Source organism: Homo sapiens, chromosome 2, assembly GCF_000001405.40.
Source record: "Homo sapiens chromosome 2, GRCh38.p14 Primary Assembly".
NCBI lineage: Eukaryota > Metazoa > Chordata > Mammalia > Primates > Hominidae > Homo > Homo sapiens.
In genome coordinates, this window is record NC_000002.12 from 237,325,916 (window position 1) to 237,347,715 (window position 21,800).

Genomic DNA, 21,800 nt, shown 5'->3' on the forward strand with positions numbered 1-21,800 from the left:
GCCTTGTGAGAGATAGATGAAATTATATCAATGAAAGGGCTTCATAAACAGCACTCAGAATCCCAAATGCTGGCAATGGTTATTGAATAATTTTAAATGAAATGAATTGTTTTTCCCCTTTCCAATCACTGGGCCATTTGCCCTCCAAGTCCTTCCATGTTAAATCCCCAGAAAAGAAACTGAATTTTAAAACCTCAGGGTTTTATAATTCTTGGCAAAATGGAAATTCGATTCTGTTGGGATATAGTTCAAAAATAAGGCTCTACCTTTCATTACAAGCCAAGTAGACTGAAAATTAAAGGTAAAGCAGAAAAGAAAATCCTTTATGAGTGTGTGTGTGTGTGTGTGTGTGTGTGTATGCACGTATGTGTGGTAGCCAAGAGCCTTTGTGACCTGCCAAATGAAACACGTAAAACAAAGAGCTAGCACTGATGTAAAATTCATGATGGCAAAAATGTCACATAGCAGAACTATTTTGAAGACAGAGAAGCATTCTTTTCCCAGTTAAGGAAGTTTATGTTTCCAATGCACACGTCTGATGTAGCCCAGCTGCAAAGTAAAGCAAAGGTCCCCTCGACGCCTGGAGAGAAGAGTTTACAGTTCACACACAGCACGACTCCTGTTTACAGAGTTTTCTGGCAAACTCCAGATTGTTCTGGGAAAGAGAAGCATTGATGTCAACTGTTATCTGTAAGTTTGAAAACGTAAACCTTCTTTCTCCAAAACTCCCTGGAGCCAATAATTCTGCATGTTCCTGTGAGTAGCTAACAGGCTGGAATTATCCAGCTCTCCCCTACAAAGAGATGCTTCTCCATCTCCTTTGTCCCCAGCGAGGCAGGCTGCTCACAGCTGCGGAGGTGGTGAGCATCTGTGCTTCAGATAGATACCAAAAAGGACAAGGAAAACCTAAGTCTTCAGTGGATAATCATAGCTTGGATCACCCACGATGGACCAGACTCAAAGGTGCACAGGACTGAGGCTCAGAATTGGTCTAAAACATTTCCTGGTTGCTGCTGTCACCCAAATTCCAGGCTGGTGGCTGGTGGCTCCACAGTTACAACACCTCCTAGTTGCAGACGCTCTCAGGGCCCAGAAAGCCAGTGGTCCCCACGAGAGCCTTTGAAGACTCCAGGAAGTCAGAATAAAATGAAGACAATTTACAAAAACAACCTTCTTTCTCTCAAATATGCCAATAACTGAAGGAAAATGCCTGGCTGTCAAGGAAGGTCCTGGAGAGAACTGACAAGGCAAGGTAATTTAACCATCAAAATTTATTCCTCATTTACTGGTGGCTTCCCTGTTAGCGTGAGGCCGGCGTCAAATGATCTCCCTATTCTTCCTTCCTTCCCAGAGCGTTGGCCAATGGACCCTATTTGCTCTATTTTATTTGTTTCAAGTGCACTTCAGTCCTGACCATCTGTGTTTAGCTGTTCAATTCCCAGTCCCCTGGGCTCTGCTGAACCAGTCACGAGAGGTCTGCCCAGAGCCACGGACACCCAGCCCATGAGTGGCCTCACAGCAGCACACTCCACTCCCCGTCTGATTGGCTTCTCCAGCTTCCTTGGCCCTCCACCCTAGCCCTCCAGTTCCACACCACGGCACTGGTGTTTTCTGCCCTTATTTCAGTGAGAGTCACTACTGAGACCCTGTAAGATTTACTAGTGGAAAATAAGGACACTGTTACTGTGGACAAGAAGATATTTGGAAAACCAAGAGAAATATATTAGTGAGGTGAGAACCCGGCACTATTCAAAGACAAAAACCTGTACTTCTCTACTTCTGAAGCATGAAAACGGAGGATTTTATGTTCTTAAGAAGGCTTCTAATGCAAACTCCACATAATCTTGACTTCTGAGACATGTCGTTTTGGCTGGACTCTACTCAGCTATGAGTGCATATGTTAAAGCAACTGTTTTAAAGCAAAAAAAAAAAAAAGTATTTAAATGTCCTGGAGTACCAAGGGAGATGGCTGGCCCTCGTTGAACTTAACCTGGACTTTTCCCTAGAACGACACGTCTTTGGATGCAATAGTTGTTCATCTTTTCCCTCTGAAATCAGTCTGCCCCCCAGGTATAACCTGTAGGAAGCTAGAGCCTTCTCTTTATGTGAGAGGAGCGCATGGCTGAGTCTTCCTTAATTTGCTCTTCTTTATTATTGAGAACCTAGTGGGAGCCTAAAAGACAATGGGGACTGAAAATTATCCACAACCTTCCCCGGCTTCCTAACCTAGAATACCAATGTAACTAAGTTTGCTTGGAAAACAGAGAGGGGAAAGGCTGCCTGACTCAGACCACTGTCTGCTGAAACTTCCTTACTATTGGTCACTGGGCTTCAGGAAAGTAACCAAATAGAAGAGAGGAAATGGAGGCAAGCACAATGTTAGGTTAAAACCCTGTTCTGGGAATCCCACCTGTTCCCAGAAGCCACAGGTGCCTACCTAGAACATCCTAAAAACAACCATTCAAAAACACTGGGGCGCAAGGCACCCTAAGCCCCACAGTCCATTTTTGTAATAATGATGTGCAGGAGTGGATGTGCATGTGCGATGCATGCACCTTCCCACAAGCAATAATATTCATAGAAAAAAATAGGAAGGCTATGCATCGGGTCACTATTGGTTTTCATCAAAAGCCAGCAATGCTGTCACAATGAGAATCGTGTAATATATTTCTCTGTACCTCCTGAATGCTTGACAATGCATATCTGTTAACTTTATAATCAGCAAAAAATATATGTATTCTTCAAAGTGGAAAACATATTGATTGGAAAATCTTGTCTTTTTCATAGTTTGATATTCCCATAGTGTTTCAATGCATTTTTAAAGGCATCAGCTTTGACATTTCCCAAACATATTGATTTCCAAATCACGATGTAAGTACTTCCTTGAGCAAACTGAAGGAAGACAGACTGAGAGGTGTTTATGCTGCAATCATCAACATGTTCCTCATCAGTTTAATGGTCCCCAAAACAAGAAAATTCAATCACCTTCTCACTCGGCATTGTTGTTACAGTATAAAGTACTTCCATACCTTGGATGCAGGTATGATTTGCCTGAATGAAAACACTTTCCGCCGTCTACATTTTGAGCATTGGTCAGTTCAAAGGGTACCAAGGAAACTTACCAAATTTTTAACTTACTTAATTTATTTACTTATTTAGATACTGAGTCTCACTCTGTTGCCCAGGCTGGAATGAAGAGGTATGATCTCAGCTCACTGCAACCTCTGCCTCCCAGGTTCAAGTGACTCTCCTGCCTCAGCCTCCTCAGTAGCTGGATTACAGGCATGAGCCATCATGCTTGGCTAATTTTTGCATTTTTAGTAGAGACAGGGTTTCACCATGTTGGCCAGGCTGGTCTCGAACTCCTGACCTCAAGTGATCCTCCTGCCTCAGCCTCCCAAAGTGCAGGGATTATAGGCATGAGCCATCACACCCGGCCAATTTTTAACTTTATTTTAAAATGTAGCTGTGGTTAAATTTTACTCTTTCAGATCTTGACCAACAGACTTCTATTTTTTAAGACTTCAAGATAAAAAACACTCCTTTGGGCTCATCATAACCCACACATGACAACTAACCAGAAAACATCCTCACACAGCGATGAACAACAGACAGCCTGGAGAGGACCATTTCCTAAATCCCTGTAGCTATTTAACTTACTTCAGCTGTGGGATTAGTTTGTTCTTTAAATTATTATTAACATAAAGTCAGGTATTTCCCCCAAATATACCATTTTATGCTAATTGATGATATATATTCACATGGAACATGGCCAACCAAATACTGTATTGTATCCAATATAAGAGCTCTTAATTTTATGATGCACCATTATTTTATGTTCCACTAAGTAACACAAAATGCTACCAATAAACCATGATATATTGTCAATTCTAAGTCACATTTCAGTTTCAGAAGTGTCCCAATGAGAAGAAAATTGTGCATCTTAGAATCAATAAGTAAAACGTTAGTAAACACAAAATGATGGTTCCTTCAGGGCTATACAATTGGCCCAGTCATGTCTACTCGGACAAAATGTGATCAGTTCTACAGATTGCTAATTTCAAGAATAAATAATAAAGGACATGGTGATTTTGTTAGTTGTTTTGTCTAGTTTCTGCATTGAAACTTCTTTAACACAGGTGATTAAGCCAATAATTTAGGATTCATTTTGCAATACTGCAAAAAGTAAATTTTAAGTTAGATTTTTGTTGTTGTTGTTGTTGTTTAGAAATTCTAGACAGTCTTAGCTTTAATAGTAATATGCATAGAAAATATCTATCCAAAGCTTCCTTAGCTAAAAATGAGAAGGGAGAAGAGGGAGGTGGTAACAAAAGCCTGAAACCAAAATTAGCAACTACGTAGCACTGTCAAAATCAGCAGCGACAAAGCAGGTGGCAGAAAGGCCCAGCACACCCATGCTTTCAGGAGGCCACGGTAACGAATGAAAGATCCACTGCTGCTCACTGCCATTTACAGGCAGCAGATGTGTGACAGAAAAGTGGCTGGAGCATAATTCTTTTAGATGCCGAGCAAAGCAAAAAGTGGAGTGAGATGTTTTTGTGGGGGTTCATTTGGTTTTATTTAAAAAAATACAAATATTAACCACTGAAAATCAAATCATGTAATATTGTAAAGCTGGAATCCTGAGTGGTTGCTAACGATGCCCTAGGTATATTAATGGAATCAAGGCCTGTTAACAGAATCAACCTTCATCTCAAAGGCGAGAGTCTCCCTGCCACATACCAAACAGGGCCAGATCTTATGGAGGACAAAAAATGCCCCAACCAGACTGCCCTCGCATTACATGCCTGACTCACATTCCTGATAAACAAGCATCTATTCAATGTGACTGTCAAAATGGGCAAACATTAACATATGCAAACGAAAACCAATGGTAACACTGGTCCTCTCCTCTTCCCCTGCCTTAGGTGCCCAGGACTAGGAACCTTTTCATTTCAGAGTGTTTCTACCTACAAATTCCTTCACAGATTCAAACACAGGTCACCAGGTTCCCAGAATCTAACATGATAAACTATGAAAAATACAGATTCTTAAGACAGCATCTTTTATTCACAGAAGTAAAAAAGCAAACAGTAGCATCTACTATTTAATACTAAGAAAGGGACCCATCTCTGTAAACATGTTTCTAATTAATGGATGCTGCAGAAAGTAAGAGGAATGAAAATGGACACATGTAAATATAAAAAATATATTTTTAAAACTTCATTTTGCCTGAATGGTCTAGAAAATGTATATTTGGAGAAATAATGCATATCGTGGTCATTGGAATTTGGATGCAAAATATACATGCAACTACTGAGTAAGCATGCAGTTATTATCTTTTTTTAGTTATTTAATAAAGAGTGGTTCATTGTCACTCCTTTTCCTATATCCAAATATATAAAAACCATTAAAAAATTTTCCCCCCACCCCAGGGGAAATAGTTAAAATGACAATTATAGGAGAAGGTGAGGAGGGGAGGGAGAGAGGTTGGTAGGGGTGGGGAGGATAAGGATTCCTCTCCTAATTCTGGTTATCCATTTTGAATTTTAGACATTTTTAAGTAAATGTCCCATTTATTAGGTCGGTGCGAAAGTAATTCCAGTTGTTGCCATTACTGTCAGTGGCAAAACTGCAATTGCTTTCGCACCAACCTAGTAATTCAAAAAGAGCTCTCAAAAATGCCATAACTGTGTGTACACCAACATATATTCATCAGGCCAAGGCAGGTTAAGTGCTTGTTTGTTACTATGAAGTCATTAAGTTTAAGAGATCAGAGATCAATTATGCAGGGCCTTGTTCTTTTTTTAAAAAAAAAAAAAGGTAATTTATGTCTTCACCCTGGGAAGGAAAACACACATATGCATGTGTACACACATACATACACAGACACACACACATGAAATGGTGAGAGGACATTCACATCCTGGGTCTGAGGGTTATGCCCCAATTAGTATGAAGGAGAAAGGTTTTATTTAGATTCATCTGTATCAACTACTTGCAGCCTTGAAAGAAACACAAGCCCCAATTTCAAAAGCTCTTTTCTCTTTATCACAGGTAGACAGGCGATCTCAGTGTTAAAGGTCTGGATCAAAAGCACCTTCTTAATTCTGAACCTCACAACTCTCTCCCCCCATCTCTCTCTCTCTCTCTACATATATATATATATATATATATATATATATATATATATATATATATATGAAAAGAAAAACAAAACAGCCCAGCCAGACCCTTGCTGAAAGACATTGTTGTTTATATGAATTAGGCACTGTTTATACAATCTTGTCCCTTTTGGACCACACATAAGAGAATCAAAAACATCCCCAAATCTTGCTGTCTAGTTTACTCATTATTGATCTCTGATCTCTAGTTTACTCCAAGTCTTTTTCTCTCAATGAAGCACTAAATTGGCTAAAATTTTTCTATTTCCCACACTGTATTCAGGGAGAAGTTAACCAATGAGTGAGAAATGACATACACAGATTTCAGCAACTTTGAAGTTAGAGTTGAATCTGTCCTGACCCACACCTTTGGGGAAAATCTACTGTGTTCTTTGTGGCTTCTCTTTGAGCTCAAGCACCATGGTGGGGTCGCCTAACAGGCTCACTCAACAAACACCTTTAAAATCAATTACAGAAATGAGCATTGTGAAGAGAAATGCTTTCCTCCTCCTGACAGTAGACGATACACCAAAAAATAATGAATTGTCCCCTAGTTAGCAGAAAGCTTTTGCTTCAGGTGTATAAAACAGTATTATATCTAAATTCCCATGGCATTTCCATTTTTTATGTTAGTACCATCATTCTTTGCTGAACACTCTTAAGCAAAGCCTATCAACTATTTTAATAATCAGTTTCTCACCGATGAACAAGCCAAGTCCACATTCTGCTGAATGAGAGATTCCAGGTCTCTCAGAGTTTCACTGCCCAAGAACAAAAGCAAGTAACAGCTGTCAGTTCCTGAATTACACCTAACCAGTCACTAACTTAGCATAGACTATGCACACACTCTGGGGTTCAAGCACATGAGAGACAGTATCACAGACTCACACACTAAGCTGGGGTGTGTGCTTAGGATGTCCGGACCAGAACACCCCATGGGTCAGATCCAAACCCATGCATTTCATGGATTCCAGCCAAATTTGTCTTGTGTTCTTCTAAGCAGTTTTTTTATTAGATTAAATCACTGAGTAAATGAAACGCCAATCTTCACAGCATCACAGACCACAAATCAACTCGAGTCCCAGTATGAGGCACAGGAGAAATGTCTAATGGATACGTGAATTCTAGTGATAGCCCCAAAAGCACCTCCCATCAAATTTTCACTGAGTCTGATCACAGGTAAAGTAAGACTCCATTTACACCTGGGATTATGCAGAATAAGATGATGTTGGGCTGCACAGAGCTGACGTGGACCTTTTCCCCCATAGAAGTCATGCCTGGGCTAAGACTTAGAACCCAGGAAGTTAAATTGGAATCAAGATGGGTATTTTCTTAGTGCCATTAATGGACCTAATAGTTTCACAACTCACCTGTTTCAGTGAGAGCCAATGGTTCTGTGCTCACCATTAGATTGATGGTTGAACTAGAAGCTGACCTTGCTGGCTGTGGAGGTGGGGGCTGAGATTTCTCTATAAAAGAAAAATATATGCAACTCGTAGGTAAATCAGAAACAGGAGGGCTTGGGAATCCTTAGTGACTGATATAAGGTTGCCTGCTGTGATTAATGTCTTATGTTGGGGAGTGGTGATTGAAAGACACAGATCCAAGACACCTCTACATCCACGACTTATGCTGTGGGCTACAAGTTGGATCCATGAGCTAATAAGCGACGGGAGGGGATCCCTGAACTTCTGAACAAATCCTCTCACTTCCCAGACAGCCTCTTCTGCTGCTGTCCAGGAAAATAGAGCCCTAGGGTTGACTGGGTCTTTGGACTCATATCTCTATGGGCCTAATCCATGGCACTGGTGGGAATTCCCTTTCCTCAAGCTGGTTCCTTGATCTGAATAGCATTGGCCTGAAGAAAAGAGGAGCCTTCCCTTCACATTCCTGGAGCAGTGGGGGTCAAGAAGAATGGGAGGGGGGAACCCAGAAGAATTTAGAAAGATGAGAGAGGGGACCATGAATAATTAAGAAAAGCTGTGACAGCACTCAAGTGCAGGCCTCAGTGAAATGGGGGGGCCCCTGGGGACAACAGCCAGCCAAGGGCAGAGCCCAACTATGGTGAGATCAGGGCAGGGAGACTCAGCTATCGACATCCTCCACCCCCGGGGCGGTGAGACTTCAGGGACACCTCCATTACTCCCTAAGGAGCCAGTGACTGGCTGGTGTTTTCCTGAACATGGAAACCTGGACGGGGTGGTGGGCAACCAGGAGCCCTCACCGGGAGACGTGGCCATCTTTCCCGGGTGCAATGTTGGAAAGGGCTGTGCTCAGGCGACGTGGATCTGGCTTCCTCCAAAAAGTAGCCCAGGACCCAGAGGGCAGGACTGCATCCCACATGGAATCCCATTTCCATTCTGTGTTTTATAAGCTTAGGCTGCCACCAAAGCACCCAGGCTGAGTTGTTTTGTTGTTGTTGCTGTTGTTGTTTTTTGAATTTGTGGTTATTTCAGAATAGATTCAATAAGTAAGTGTCTCCTTTGTGTCCTATTTGATACTCTACATAGAAATCAGGTACCGACTTGTACTGATCATGTACTTACTTGTACTGAAACTTCCGTGGTAGGTGGCTCTGACCTGAGACCTCAGGTAGCAGACCACAGCCACATGGTATGTCTGCCCAGCGAGCAGGCCTCCAATGACGCGGTCCGTGACCGTGAGGTTCTGCTTCAGAACCAGGGACTGATCATGGGCTGAGGTGACGGTGAGGTCATAAAAATAAGGACCGGGGGGCTCAGCCCTCTCCCAGTGGAGTTTGGCGCTGTTCTCTGTTATCTCAAACACCTGGACTTCACGGGACATCTTAACTGAAAGATAGATCAGAGCGTGAAGATAAAAAATAAAATCCTCCATGACTGTAGTGCATGAGCGAGAGAGGAAATCTGAAAGGGATGTGTTAACAGACAAATTGACTTGAAATTTAGCTGAGGCGGGGAACTAATTTCTTGTTCAAGCCCCTAAAAAACATTGCTCTTATAATCTATCAGCATACATGAAATGTGAAATTCACAGTAATGAAAAATCTCATTATTCATCAACTTTTTTTTCTATTAAAAATCTCGCCTGTTAAGAAGATACTTTGGAAATGCAGCATACTAATCCTAAGTTGTGTTTGCTACAAAATGAGCCCCATAATTTAAAATATATTAAGTCATAAAATTTTAGGGTATGACATGAAATTCTTTTAAAGGAATTCTGCTTTCTCTCTCATACTGTTCATCAAATGAAGATAATTTCCATTTTATCATGAGCCTTCCTTTACAGCTTGTGACATTCGGTAGTGTCTTCCAGTATCTTCTTTAGGAAAATGATAAAATAACATACTCTTGGTCTCATTAAAGCCATCTACCTTTTGTATCTAATTCAGTCTGAAATATATTAAGTTGGTGCAGAGTCATTGTGGTTTTTGCCATTGCTTTCAATATTTTTCTCATGGTCAGCATGAGCATAGATTTGAGCCTTGGGGAATGACTGATGGTCCAGGCTCTGACTTTTCAAGCTGCTGGACTGAACACCCAGTATTGCCACAGCACACAGCTTAGGGCCCCTTTTCTGTGGGTATGAGGCAGAGACAAAGTTTGCAGTTGCAAAGGGCTCCCCCAGACCTTTTCAAGGCATGTTCTAAGGTAGGCGAGTCCGGCTCCATACACCAGCCCAGAAACATCTGCCTTGCTGCCTAAGAACCAACTGCAGCGTTTTTCTTTCTGTCTCTCTCACTCCCTAAATAGGAGCTAAAACCTTATTTCAACACGGAAACTTTTCCCTTTAGTTTAAGACAACTCAATTTTCAGGTGAGGTGAACTGTGCCCCCACTGACATTCCAGAGAGAATGAGAGCTTCCCATCCCTATCGCAAGACAGGATTGAGGGCACAGGATGGGGAGTGGGAGGCTGGAATCCCTAACCAACACCTCTTAAAATACATCATCCAGGTGTACAAGCCCAGATCAAGGACTGTATTCTGAGTGTGTTACATGCAGGCTTTGAGGAACACACCCTGGAGCAGGAAATGAGGATGTCACAAGATGGCAGCCCTAGCAAGGGCTTTCTTACCCATGGGCTTAGTGGTGGCTGGCTTGGTGGCAGCTGGTTTGGCTGCCTGTGGCCTAGGGACCTCAGGCTTGGTCGCCACTGGTTTTGCAGCAGCAGCAGCGGGGGGTCTTACAGCTGCTGGCTTTGCTGCTACAGGCTTCGCTGCCGTTGCTGGCTTCACCGCCACTGGGGGTCTAACAGTGGCCATCTTTGTGGCCACAGGCTTGGCAGCCACAGGTTTCGCAGGGGCCGGCTTTGCAGCGGCTGGCTTCACAGATGGCTGATTTATAATAGTCACAGGCTTTGTTGTGGTGGTTACAGGCTTTGTTGTGGTGGTCACCGGCTTCGTCGTAGTCACCGGCTTCGTTGTCGTCACTGGGTTGGATGTAGGACTTGAAGTAACGTTATTCGGAACATTTCTGTTAAGACAAATTAAATATTACCTCTACTTTTACCTGCTATCTAAAATAAATAAAGACATAACCCCATGAGCTACATTAAATTTGTTTTAGCAAAATGCATGCAATAGTTTTTATAGATTATGTATAGCAGTGCATATATTAAATTCCTTCTTTTAAGGATCTGTGCCTCCCTAAAAAAAGATATGGAACAGCATATTGAAAAATAGAACCATTAAAAATGAAGCTTATATTGTTCTACAAAAACATCTTTCAATTTCTAAAATAAAGGCAGAGAGAAAATAAGAGACAATAATGAATAATATCCAACAATGTTCTCATTATAGCAATTAACCAACCAAAACATACACCAAAAATTAAATGAAATCAGTAGTTAGCTACTTACATTATAAGAAAATATCCACTCAATCAAATGCTATGTTGAGCTGGAAAATTATAAAGTTAGCATGTACTATTTTGCTCCCAGGGCTTATTACTGGGAGTATATATATTTTTTATTTCTCTTAATTTTTGTGTATGTGTATTTTTTTTTACAATTTCTTGATCTATTACCAATATCTAGAGAGAATAGCAGCCTAATCAAACAGACATAACAACAAGGACCCACACTTCATAGCTTTCTTGATCTTAGAAGAAAATATATTATTTTATAGTCATATCTTGCTACTTGTCCTAGGAAGTATTAATATATTTTCAAGTTAATATCATAAGACTTCAAATACTAGGTTACTTCATTCATTCTGTTTTCCTAAAGATAAAAAGGTTGAGCCAATTTCAGGGAAGGTTTCAGAGAAAAAATACGAATCATTAGAGCCTAGAAAAATGGAGGCTACAAAGCTAAATGAAGCATCCAGTGCCACGATAAGGGTCCTAGTGGCCTTAGCAATGATATTCATTCTTGCTATGCTGAGATTTAAAGCCACTCCTTCTGAGGTCAAAAGAAAGAGCTGAAGGACTTAAGTGGTGATAGACAGAAGGGTCTGCAGTAGGAAGAGATGGGCTCTCTTTCCCCATCTTGAGAGTCAGCTAGTCGTAAGCCAGATAGTCATTTTTCAAGGATCATTTGCGTTCACATCTCATCTGTGTACGAAGTTCAGAATCTGCAGAATCTGCACTTCCCTCCAAAGCATGACACACTGTGACATTCTCTTAAGGAGCACACATTGCTGACACGCTGCAGGGGCTCAGTTCTTGCAGCCACATCACCCCAGCTAGCCCTCTGTTACATGCCCCCACTGCCCTCTTTGCTCCTAGGGTTGGCACCCGAGATGGAGCAGGGCATGAAACACGGCACATGGGCCAGGCAGCAGCATCGGCATGGGTGCCACAGTCCTGCCCACTCCCACCCCTCCCGTCAGTCTTCATAGAACATGCACATGACTTCCTATTATTACCATCATTACATGTTATCACAGCATTAATAATTTTAAGAAGACATGGAGTCTATTTTTTGATGTATCCAATCCTTCTTTTACGTAATCATTTCACACCAGATACGGTAAATTGTTTGGAACTATGGTCTCAATTATCTACCTTCTCTCTGCCCATGCCCTTTCAATGTAATGTGGCAAGTCCTTCCATCAAGCCTAGTTTTCCATTCTTAAATCTAGGTTAGCCTTTGGACATGCTTTGGTCAATAGAACGTGGCAGAAGTAACAGTGTGCCAGTTCTAACCTAGGTCACAAGAGGCCTTGCACACTTGTCTTCTCTCAGGGAACCCTGCCAGGTCACCTGGTGAACAAACCCAAGCTAGCCTGCTGAGAATGAGAGACCACATGGAGCAGAGATGAGCCAGCCCATCTGAGACCACTCTAGACCAGCAGCTCTATAGCTGACAAGCAGCTGACCACAAACATAAGGGATCCAAGGAGAAAACAGAAGAACCACCCAGTTGAGCCCAAACAAAAATTGCTAACCCACAGAATTGCAAATTAAATAAGTGGTTGTTGGCCAGGCCCAGTGGCTCATGCTTATAATCCCAGCACTTTGGGAGGCTGAGGCAGGCAGATCATTTGAGTTCAGGAGTTCTAGACAAGGCTGGACAACATGGCGAAACCCCATCTCTACTGAAAAAAAAATACAAAAATTAGCCAGGCATGGCTGCATGCACCTGTAGTCCCAGCTACTCGGGAGGCTGAAGCATGAGAATTGCTTGAATCCAGGAGGCAGAGGTTACAGTGAGCCAAGATTGCACAACTGCAGTCCAGCCTGGGCAACACAGCAAGACTCTGTCTCTAAATAAATTAAGTAAGAAAATAAATAGGTGGTTGTTGTTTTAAGCCACTAAGTTTTGGGTAGCTTGTTACATGGCAAAAGCTAACTGATAAAACAGATTATTTGAGAAGCATGACCCACATTACCTTTGGGAAGTCACATTTTCTGGATTTCAAGGTCCTCATCCCATAAAGTCAGGAGGTGGTTGGAGGACCTGTGCATTCCCTGCAGCGCTACAATTTTTAAGACAATAATTATAATCACTTACACTTGTTTGTGACCAAACTTCACAAGGTTCTTTGTGGGTTGGTCCCCTTGGAACCAATCACACTGTTTCCTGATATCTGGGGACAAGTAAAAAGCATTTTCACCTAAAGAAAAAAAACAAAGAAAACAATTGAACCGCATGCTAATAACATGAAAATTAAAATTAATCTGTCAACAAGTTAAATGAATCACATAACATTTATTTAGCCCATAATTATTGTTGAATTAACTATATCAGACAAACTATGTCCAGTGATTTTAAACATAAAGTATGATGGCATTGGATCCATAAAACATGGTAAGCCAATATGTTCTATTTGGCAATATTTGGGTGATTAAGTTAAAGATATATTTATCCAACATGAGAGAGAAGACAGGGATAGAAGAAAAATCAAGTGGAGAGTTCAACAAGTTCTAGACTCTTGGACATCAGATTATAATGCAACTGCTTTTCAGATTTTCTCAATGCTTTGTTGAACAAAGCTTTTGTTTTTAATCTTTGGAAGACAGGAACAGTGACCTGTGGGTGAACCTGGGGGATTACCTTTGCTTCACATTTTTCTTTGAATCTTTTGGGGGCCAGACCTTCACAAATGTGAATACTGTTTTCATAGACCTCAACATTGCCTTAAATAATAAACATTTAGCATATACATGTTTATTTATACTTTATAAATCCCCCTCATCTGTTCCAAGCCTTGCCTGTACTGACCCTGGGCTGCACACTGTACACAGGCTCTGGAAACTATAATAGGCTGCACCTCCTCAAAGAGCAGTCTAGGGGACCACAGACCCACAAATAAATGATCAACAGGCCAGGTAATAGATGCCCTAAATAGGGTGTCCGGATTAACCATGAGCAGGCCTTGGGAGCAGCAGCTTCCACGGCGAGCAGAAGCCATTGGAATTGAACTTTGAAGATGAATATGGGTTTGCTGCTGAAGTGCGGTGGAGAGCATTCCAGGGAGGGGGAGCCCCATGAGCAAAGACCCAGTGGTATCCAAGCACGGGGCTGGTGGCTAAGCCCCGATCAAAGCAACTCTTTCTAGAAGCTTTCCCCGGTGCCCCTAACAGAAATCACTTCTCTCGCGACATGCCAGCCTATTATGTCATGCGTAATAAATGTGCATTTGATCCATTTGCCCACCCATTTGTAAACTGTTAAGGACACCAAGAGTGCCTTATGACTAGGTGGCGCTTGGTCAAATGTGGTGGAATAAAGGAATCAATGAGAACAAGGATACTGTCTGCATGTTCCCTGCTTACTCTGGCTCCTAAAAGCATTTGTGGCATATGGCAGGTGTCAATATATGTCTGTTCAATGAATGAAACAGTTCCTGTCAACACATCGGTTGTCTTTTCCATGACTGTTCCTACACTTCTCCTGGCCCGAGCATAAAGCCAGGCCAGGGCACATGCTGTGCCACGCAGGACTTACTGCTGACGAAGGATGGCAACAGCCTCCCGAAGCGCATCAAAGGCTCCTCGTTGAGCTCGGTGGACTTGTCCACTAATTTGAAGAAGACGTCGTTTGGCTCACTGGCGAAGGTGTATACCTCCTTGATGTTCACCTTCCTGCCAATGCCCAGGACCACGAAGAAGTAGCCCTTGCATTTGGCCTGCAGGATGACTCTCTGGGCCTCCTCCAGCTGCTGCTCCGGCACCTCGCCCGTCAGCATCAGGACCACAATTTTCAGGTCCCGTGGGTTTGGGGCACTTTCAAAGACATTCTCTATGGTGTATTCAATGGCACTGCCTAAGGCCCTGGTTCCCTGCAACTGTGTCATTCCCCTGCTGAGGAAGTCCACCAGCTTCTCCTTGGAGCCATAGTCAGTCAGGGAGAATTCCACCTTCACAGGTGGCATGCTGGCATTGTCCACGGACTCAGAGGGCGCGTGCTGCACAACTGCCACTCTGGCGAAGTGCTGGGAGGCCTTGGGATCTGGGCTCATGTCCAGTTGTCTGACCAGGTACGCTATGTACTTCTTCATCTCATTGAACTGGAACAGGGTGGTGGTCTCAGCGCTGTCTAAGATGAAAGCCATGTCGATGTCCACATCGCTCCCTGCCGCTCTCCTGTCCCTGAAGGAAGGCCTCCAACTGCCAAATCCACAGGATGGGTCGATGTTGCAGATGTCTAGAAAGAAGCATGGCAGCCTATTTGTTCTGTGACACCCACAGCAGGATACACAGCTCATCAATCTGCTGGGAGACTTGGGCGATTAAAATGATCACATAAGATCAAAAGCGGGCCGGAAGCGGTGGCTCACGCCTGTAATCCCAGCACTTTGGGAGGCCGAGGCAGGTGGATCACGAGGTCAAGAGATCGAGATCATCCTGGCCAACATGGTGAAACCCTGTCTCTACTAAAAATACAAAAATTAGCTGGGCCTGATGGCGCATGCCTGTAATCTAGGCTACTCTGGAGGCTGAGGCAGGAGAATCGCTTGAACCCAGGAAGCAGAGGTTGCAGTGAGCCAAGATTGTGCCACTGCACTCCAGCCTGGGCAACAAGAGCAAGACTCTGTCTAAAAAAAAAAAAAAAAAAAAAAAAAAAACATCACAACCAAAACCAATTTATATCTTGCCTTGATTTGATTATGGCCAGATTTCAGTTTCTATCACCTAATACTTAGTAGATGAAACAAATCACTAACCTAAAATCTTTGTAGCATACCATGTGCTGGCATTTTTAAAAGAAATGAAAAATTATATTACTTCTCTGCCACTCTTTGAAGAAATATGTTCTAGAAAGTCACTAGTGCCAATGTTTTCATTCTAGATTCTAATGTCAAAACTTAAGCAGAAACTGCCTCCTCCTTTGTTACCTATAAAATGAATTATCCGCCATCAAAGAGAAGCTCTGTTTTGGGAGGTCCATTTTTAATATAGAAACTGCTGCAGTAGTATTTACTCTGGTAAATACGAGGCTTTGTGAATCAATTGAACTCAAGCTCTTTTTACAGATCATCATTATTCTCTCACTCTCCCATGGATATTATGTTTTGCAATTGCAGCTGAGCAGATCTTCCTGTTAGAGAAACAGCTTACCCAAGCAAACATGACACGTGAGGACATTCTCCAGGAAGTCTGTGAGGTCTCTCCCTGCAGGCAGGACAAGCGCATGCCCCACTGCTGTGTTATTGATCTGGTTTAAACAAAAGAACAATTTTGGTAGGGGCGTACATGATCAGTAATATCTGAAAATATGGCAGAGGAGTAAATCAAAGCTACATCAATAAAATAGATTAACTTCCCAATAGGGCAGTATTGGGAATATCTTCTCATTTGGGGGTGGGGTTAGGCTCTGAGTATAATAGAAAGACATAGGTTTTATTCTACTAGGGTGAGCTGGAGTTCATATCCCGTTCAAATGGGTTTCAGTTTTTTTCAGCTGTAAAATGGGGGGTAATACCTTCCTAATGGTGTCATTTGGAGGGTTAAATTAGATAATAAATGTTAGTAACTGGTGTATCCTCTGGCAAATAGTAGGAACTTAATCTTATCGTTATTTTTAGCAACAATATGGGAGCTCCATCCCTTCCCCACCCTCTCAGGTGTGGTTAAAGCAAGTAACAAAATCACTCCCAGTGGGTGCAAAGAGTCCTGTCTATCGCCGTACCTGGCACACGATTAGTAATTATTCATTTAACAAATAGCTAGTTTGAATGAATGAATGAGCAAATAATTAATGAATGAACAATTTTTTGATCTCGTTGAAACCATGCTAAGAAACTCACGTGGTTCTGGGTCCCTCAGCCCACACAAGGACAGACTTATGTGAATGAATCCCCCCATCAAGAGCACATGGCCGGTAGCCCAACTTCAACACTGAATTCCCAAGCCCAGCGCTCTATGCACAAATCATCCTGTGTTCGGCAGAACAAGCCCTGAGGAATGGCAGTGATGACCCAATGTCTTTCGCCGACACAGGCTGTGGTAAAAGCATAGAATATCCAATGTGGAAGGAAAGACATTAGCAATCATCCTGCCCCAGTCTCAATTTACAGGTGAAAAATCTGAGACGCAGGGACGCTAAGTGGCGTGCACATTACTTTAAATGGGTGGGGGGAGTGTGGAACCAGGCCAAGGCCTCCTGACTCCCGGGTGGACTCCTTCCTACCCATCACCCATCTGTCTTGAACAGTATCGCCAGAACTGCACTGAATAAATATTAATTGATGTAAGAATTAAACTAGTTGTCTGGGTGCGGTGGCTTACGCCTGTAACCCCAGCACTTTGGGAGGCCGAGGCAGGCAGATCACGTGGTCAGGAGTTCGAGACCAGTCTGACCAATATGGTGAAACCCCCGTCTCTACTAAAAAAAAAAAAAAGAAAGAAAAATACAAAAATTAGCCAGGCATGGTGGCGAGTGCCTGTAATCCCAGCTACTCAGGAGGCTGAAGCAGGAGAATCACTTAAAACTGGAAGGTGGAGGTTGCAGTGAGCCGAGATCACGCCATTGCACTCCAGCCTGGGTGACAGAGCAAGACTCTGTCTCAAAAAAAAAAAAAAAAAAAAAAAAAAAAAAAAAAAAAAAAAAAAAAAAAAAAAAAAAAAAAACACACAATTAAACCAGTTATTTAATAGAATTACAAGCGACACTTGGCCTCTCCGTGGGCTGACCCTTGGGGCCTCACTGAAGAAAGCTTTGCACAGTGGTGTGGTGTAGATTGGGGGTGCTGAGTCGGCATAGTTTTGGGGACCTCACTGAGAGACTACAGGCCTCCAGGGCCACCCTGGATATTCACCTTCAGGGCCGATTGGGACAGAGTGGAGACTGGAATGGGTATCATCAGCACATGGGTTTCAGAGTCTAATGGACTAGGGTCCTAGCCTCTCACGAGCACCTCACTAACAGCAGGATCTTCCTATCCATGAGGTGAGACTGATGATACAAACCTCACCAGCCAGTTATGGGAAGCAAATGCCCAGTACACAGTAAGACACAGCTCAGAGTGTGCACAGGGGGCCATCTTGGGAGGAGACAGGAAGGATGCAAACGTCCAGGTCCTCATGAATAAAGCAAACAAGTCACACCACCTTGTTAGTAGATAGAGAGTGTCACCAACACTAGCATCACTAACCGGCAAGAGCTGTCAACATGTGAGGAGGGACCTGGGGGCAGTGCTACAAGCATGTAGGCGTCCCTGTAGTGCTGGAGCCACGAGGTTGTCCTGGAGACCTCACAAGAGAAGTTCTCAGGCAGATGGCCTCATTGGGGACGTTTTAGGAGCTATGGGACATGAAGCCACAAAGGAGCATGGACGTGTCTGAGAACCTTCTCAGAGCCCCAGAAGAAAGGGAGATGCCAACAGCACGCACAGAGCACAGACCTGCAAAGCGTTGATGAGCTGCCGGTCTTCCTGCCTTGTAAGGAACAAGGGGGTGATCCCCGCATCTGAGAGCTTGAGCACAGCCTCTCTGAGCTGTGGGGATGCTCTTGTGGGTGTGTTGCTGAAGAAAACAGCCACTTTCCTCATTAGGAATCCGTTCCTCACACGCTTAAATGTGTTCCTGGCCACAAACGACATGGCAGTCTCCAGACTCTGCTGTTTGGATGTCAGAGCCACCTGAAGGTTCTTAATCTTGTCCAGGAGGACCGACTTCCTCTTGGAGTCAGCAAACCGGATCTCCGTGGTCACCTCGTTGTTGTAGGTGACCACAGCCACCCGGGCCCCCCGTGGGCAGTTGCTCTCAGCAATGGTCAGGTCATTCACAATACTCAAGACCACATCTCGCATCCGGCCGAAAGTGTCTTGGTTGACTCCCTCAGAGGTGTCTAAAGCAAAGGCTAGTTCTGTTGGGAAGACGGGGCACTCCAGGGGCCCTGTGGAAAGTAGAGGGTGGAGGGTTAAAGACAAACTGTACTTACTACAAAAGGGAGGCTTCCTTTCCTTAGGAGAAAGTCACCAAAATCAACTTACCGTAACAGCAAGCTAGAAAAGAAGCAAAGAGAAGAAAGGGTGAGAGACTACTCTACCATGTGAGAATTTCGAATGTAAAAATATGCATTGTGAGACAACAGAAAATCATGTACTTACGGCATTTATCTTTGATGCTTTGGATGAGGGCACATTGCTTTAAAAGAAAATAAAAGAATATGTAAAGAGAGCAAATCAAAGGCTCATGAGGTTAATGAGTCATTCTGGACACATGCAACTTACATCGATGGAGTCGCCCCTGTTGCCCTTGGGACCCTGTAAAACCAAGGAACGAAAGGTGAGAGGCACAGCAGATGGGGAATTCGAATAAACAGGCTTTGGCCCCCAGAAATACACAGAGCAAGACAAAGGGGCCCCTGGATAACCTTGATTGTTTACAGCCTCTCCCTCTAAACCTGATCTTATCCCTTGCAAAGCAAAAAAGAGAAGATTCTGGAGCAAATGTGTTTCCCTGGGAGGTCATTTGGCCTTTGAAATAGTCTCATGTTCTGAAACCAGGAAGCTCACCACCAATCCATGTAAAGCCCACGAGTGAACCTGGGTCTAGATTCTGCTTCTCTTGAGAAAAGAGCTCCCTTTCACACGCTTGATACGCTGTCCCCTGCCGAAGGGGCAGTGAGAGATCATTGAGCTGCCCTGGCTCCCTCCGTGTCTAAAGCATCCCAGCTGAATTCCACCCCGAGGAGCTCTAGGGACTGACTCGTGGCTTCCCTCAGTGTCCCATGCCTAAACCTCACCACCCTGACAGCCCAGCAGGCATCTCATGGGCCATTAGTTGTCTTTCCAGGAGGCTATTTCTGCCTGCTTGGTCTTCTGCAGGAACTGGCTTAATGTGCTCCCCCCAACACTTCACCTACTTAAAGACAGCAATCAGACCCACCTGACCAGCTTTCTTTTCCCTAATTCAACCAAACTAAGCCCTGAACCTTTCCTTCTAGGAATGATTTTCCAACTCCTGAATTATCTTTTCCATTATTTTTTGAAACTCACCAATTTCAATATTGAGGGACAATATATGGAGAAATTCAAATAAGAAAACAAAGGTATTAGCAATAAAGAGGTTTGGAAGGGCTGTGGGAGGATGCCCTCCTGGCTCCTGGTGGCAGCATGACTAGTGGGATTTAACCACAAATCAGGAGCTCCCTTGGGGATTTCATAGACCACAGGAAGCATTGTCAAACCAAGGCCTGGCATAATTACACTGCTTCTACAAGATGCAAGCAAAAGGTATTTAGATTTCCCCTCTTTGGTTTCTCCTCTACACAAACCTCAAATGCACCTATGCCAGGAAACTATAAAGGCAAATTACAATACTCCCTAGATGACAGGATATCCCATGAAACCTATTTTTTTAAAGTTTCTTGTTACTCTAAAATTCAAAATCTCTTTGCTGCATCATGATGTCAGAGAGGCGGTTTGACAACCAAGCAAATACAAAGAGAGCACATTTTCTTGTGAGCAAAGCAGATGGTGGGAAGTTTTCAGGGACCACGTGTAAAGCACCCAGCCCCAGGTGGCCGGGTCAGAACTGGATAAATACTTACAGCTGGTCCTGGGTAGCCAGGGTCTCCCTTCTGTCCAACTATCCCTGGAGGTCCCGAATTTCCCTAGAGGGAGCAGAACAAACATTGTTCAACTGTGTCAGAAAGTGGAGAATTTAAGGCTCCTATAGTTGGAAGGTACGGTAAAAGTGATCTAACCCAAGGGACTCCATCACCACGAAAAATCTCTCACTTTAAGGGAGCTAAAATGTCTCTTAAATTCAAGTTTAGGGACAAGCAACCTCAACAAAGCCAATGGGAGTCCCCCACCAACTATAGAGGTGTTGTATATTGTGTTCTCTGCCAGGCTAAGGTAAGACAGGTGCTTTCCCAAGAACCACTAATATGATTACTAAGGACTCCCAGGAGAATAGGTAACAGACAGTGAATTAGCTAATGCGTTCAGTGTAGATAATCATCCAATGTTTTAAAGCTCTTTGGGATATTAAATGATCTAGTTTGACTGTCTTCACTGATCAAATTAATAAGATAATTATGTTTCTTTTTAAACTACATTTCAGGCTGAAAATAACTGTTAGCAACCTTTACACAGATCTAGGCCACAATTTGCTAATTGAAGACTCTGCCATTTTAAGAGGGTGAGTAAACATCCATTGAAGAATAATCTGGCCAGGTGTGGTGTCTCATGCATGTAATCCCAGCACTTTGGGAGGCTGAGGTGGGAGGATCGCTTGATCCCAGGAGATGGAGGTTGCAGTGAGCCAAGATGGCACCACTGCACTCCGCCCAGATGACAGACTGAGACCTTGGCAACAGAGTGAGACCTTGTCACACACACACACACACAAAGAATAAAAAGAAAAGAGCTATCAGGGCTAAAAGTAGCTTAAGGAAGAGGAATCTCAGCACCAGTAGTCTGAGGAGCCCATGGCCTTGGCCTGGCTCGCTTGCAAGCCTAGAGGCTTCAGAAGCAGTTGCCATGCCTCATTCACTCCCATTGCCTGGCCGTCTGGGTGGGCATGGCCCAAAGTGACTGCACAGACTTCCCAGTCACCCATAATGAGATTCGAGACTGCAGGTGGGTGCTGTGCCTGGAGTGAGCTGGGCTGGCGACCCTGGAGGTGAGTTGGAGGAAGAGGAATACACCTACAGGAGGAGAGCCATGGACCACAGCCATGGTGGCACCCTGAGGACATTGGTCTGGGGCTCAGGATTCCCTTCCTTCCACCCTGTGCTATCCCTGGCCAGGGTGCAA

At 43.6% G+C, this 21,800-nt stretch overlaps 1 protein-coding gene across 3 annotated transcripts in view, besides 3 other annotated features; it reads right to left on the minus strand.

Moving 5' to 3' along the window:
- Nucleotides 1-21,800, minus strand: part of COL6A3 (collagen type VI alpha 3 chain) — a 90,147-nt gene that overhangs the window by 1,898 nt on the left and 66,449 nt on the right. For all 3 annotated transcript variants that reach the window (NM_057166.5, NM_057167.4, NM_004369.4), the window contains 11 exons: nucleotides 20,588-20,650; nucleotides 19,266-19,298; nucleotides 19,143-19,179; nucleotides 19,026-19,037; nucleotides 18,435-18,928; nucleotides 16,150-16,246; nucleotides 14,537-15,235; nucleotides 13,100-13,202; nucleotides 10,220-10,617; nucleotides 8,711-8,974; nucleotides 7,535-7,633 (listed from right to left, as the gene is read on the minus strand). In NM_057166.5, coding sequence (NP_476507.3) covers nucleotides 7,535-7,633; nucleotides 8,711-8,974; nucleotides 10,220-10,617; nucleotides 13,100-13,202; nucleotides 14,537-15,235; nucleotides 16,150-16,246; nucleotides 18,435-18,928; nucleotides 19,026-19,037; nucleotides 19,143-19,179; nucleotides 19,266-19,298; nucleotides 20,588-20,650 — 2,299 coding nt within the window. The remainder of the gene's footprint in view (nucleotides 1-7,534; nucleotides 7,634-8,710; nucleotides 8,975-10,219; nucleotides 10,618-13,099; nucleotides 13,203-14,536; nucleotides 15,236-16,149; nucleotides 16,247-18,434; nucleotides 18,929-19,025; nucleotides 19,038-19,142; nucleotides 19,180-19,265; nucleotides 19,299-20,587; nucleotides 20,651-21,800) is intronic.
- Nucleotides 7,857-8,358: an enhancer, noted in NCBI's record as "H3K4me1 hESC enhancer chr2:238242415-238242916 (GRCh37/hg19 assembly coordinates)". NCBI's record gives its function as "activates a minimal SCP1, AML or CMV promoter by ChIP-STARR-seq in naive H9 embryonic stem cells {active_cell/tissue: H9 hESC(naive)}" and the evidence as "EXISTENCE:reporter gene assay evidence [ECO:0000049][PMID:30033119]".
- Nucleotides 9,868-10,368: an enhancer, noted in NCBI's record as "H3K4me1 hESC enhancer chr2:238244426-238244926 (GRCh37/hg19 assembly coordinates)". NCBI's record gives its function as "activates a minimal SCP1, AML or CMV promoter by ChIP-STARR-seq in naive H9 embryonic stem cells {active_cell/tissue: H9 hESC(naive)}" and the evidence as "EXISTENCE:reporter gene assay evidence [ECO:0000049][PMID:30033119]".
- Nucleotides 10,369-10,869: an enhancer, noted in NCBI's record as "H3K4me1 hESC enhancer chr2:238244927-238245427 (GRCh37/hg19 assembly coordinates)". NCBI's record gives its function as "activates a minimal SCP1, AML or CMV promoter by ChIP-STARR-seq in naive H9 embryonic stem cells {active_cell/tissue: H9 hESC(naive)}" and the evidence as "EXISTENCE:reporter gene assay evidence [ECO:0000049][PMID:30033119]".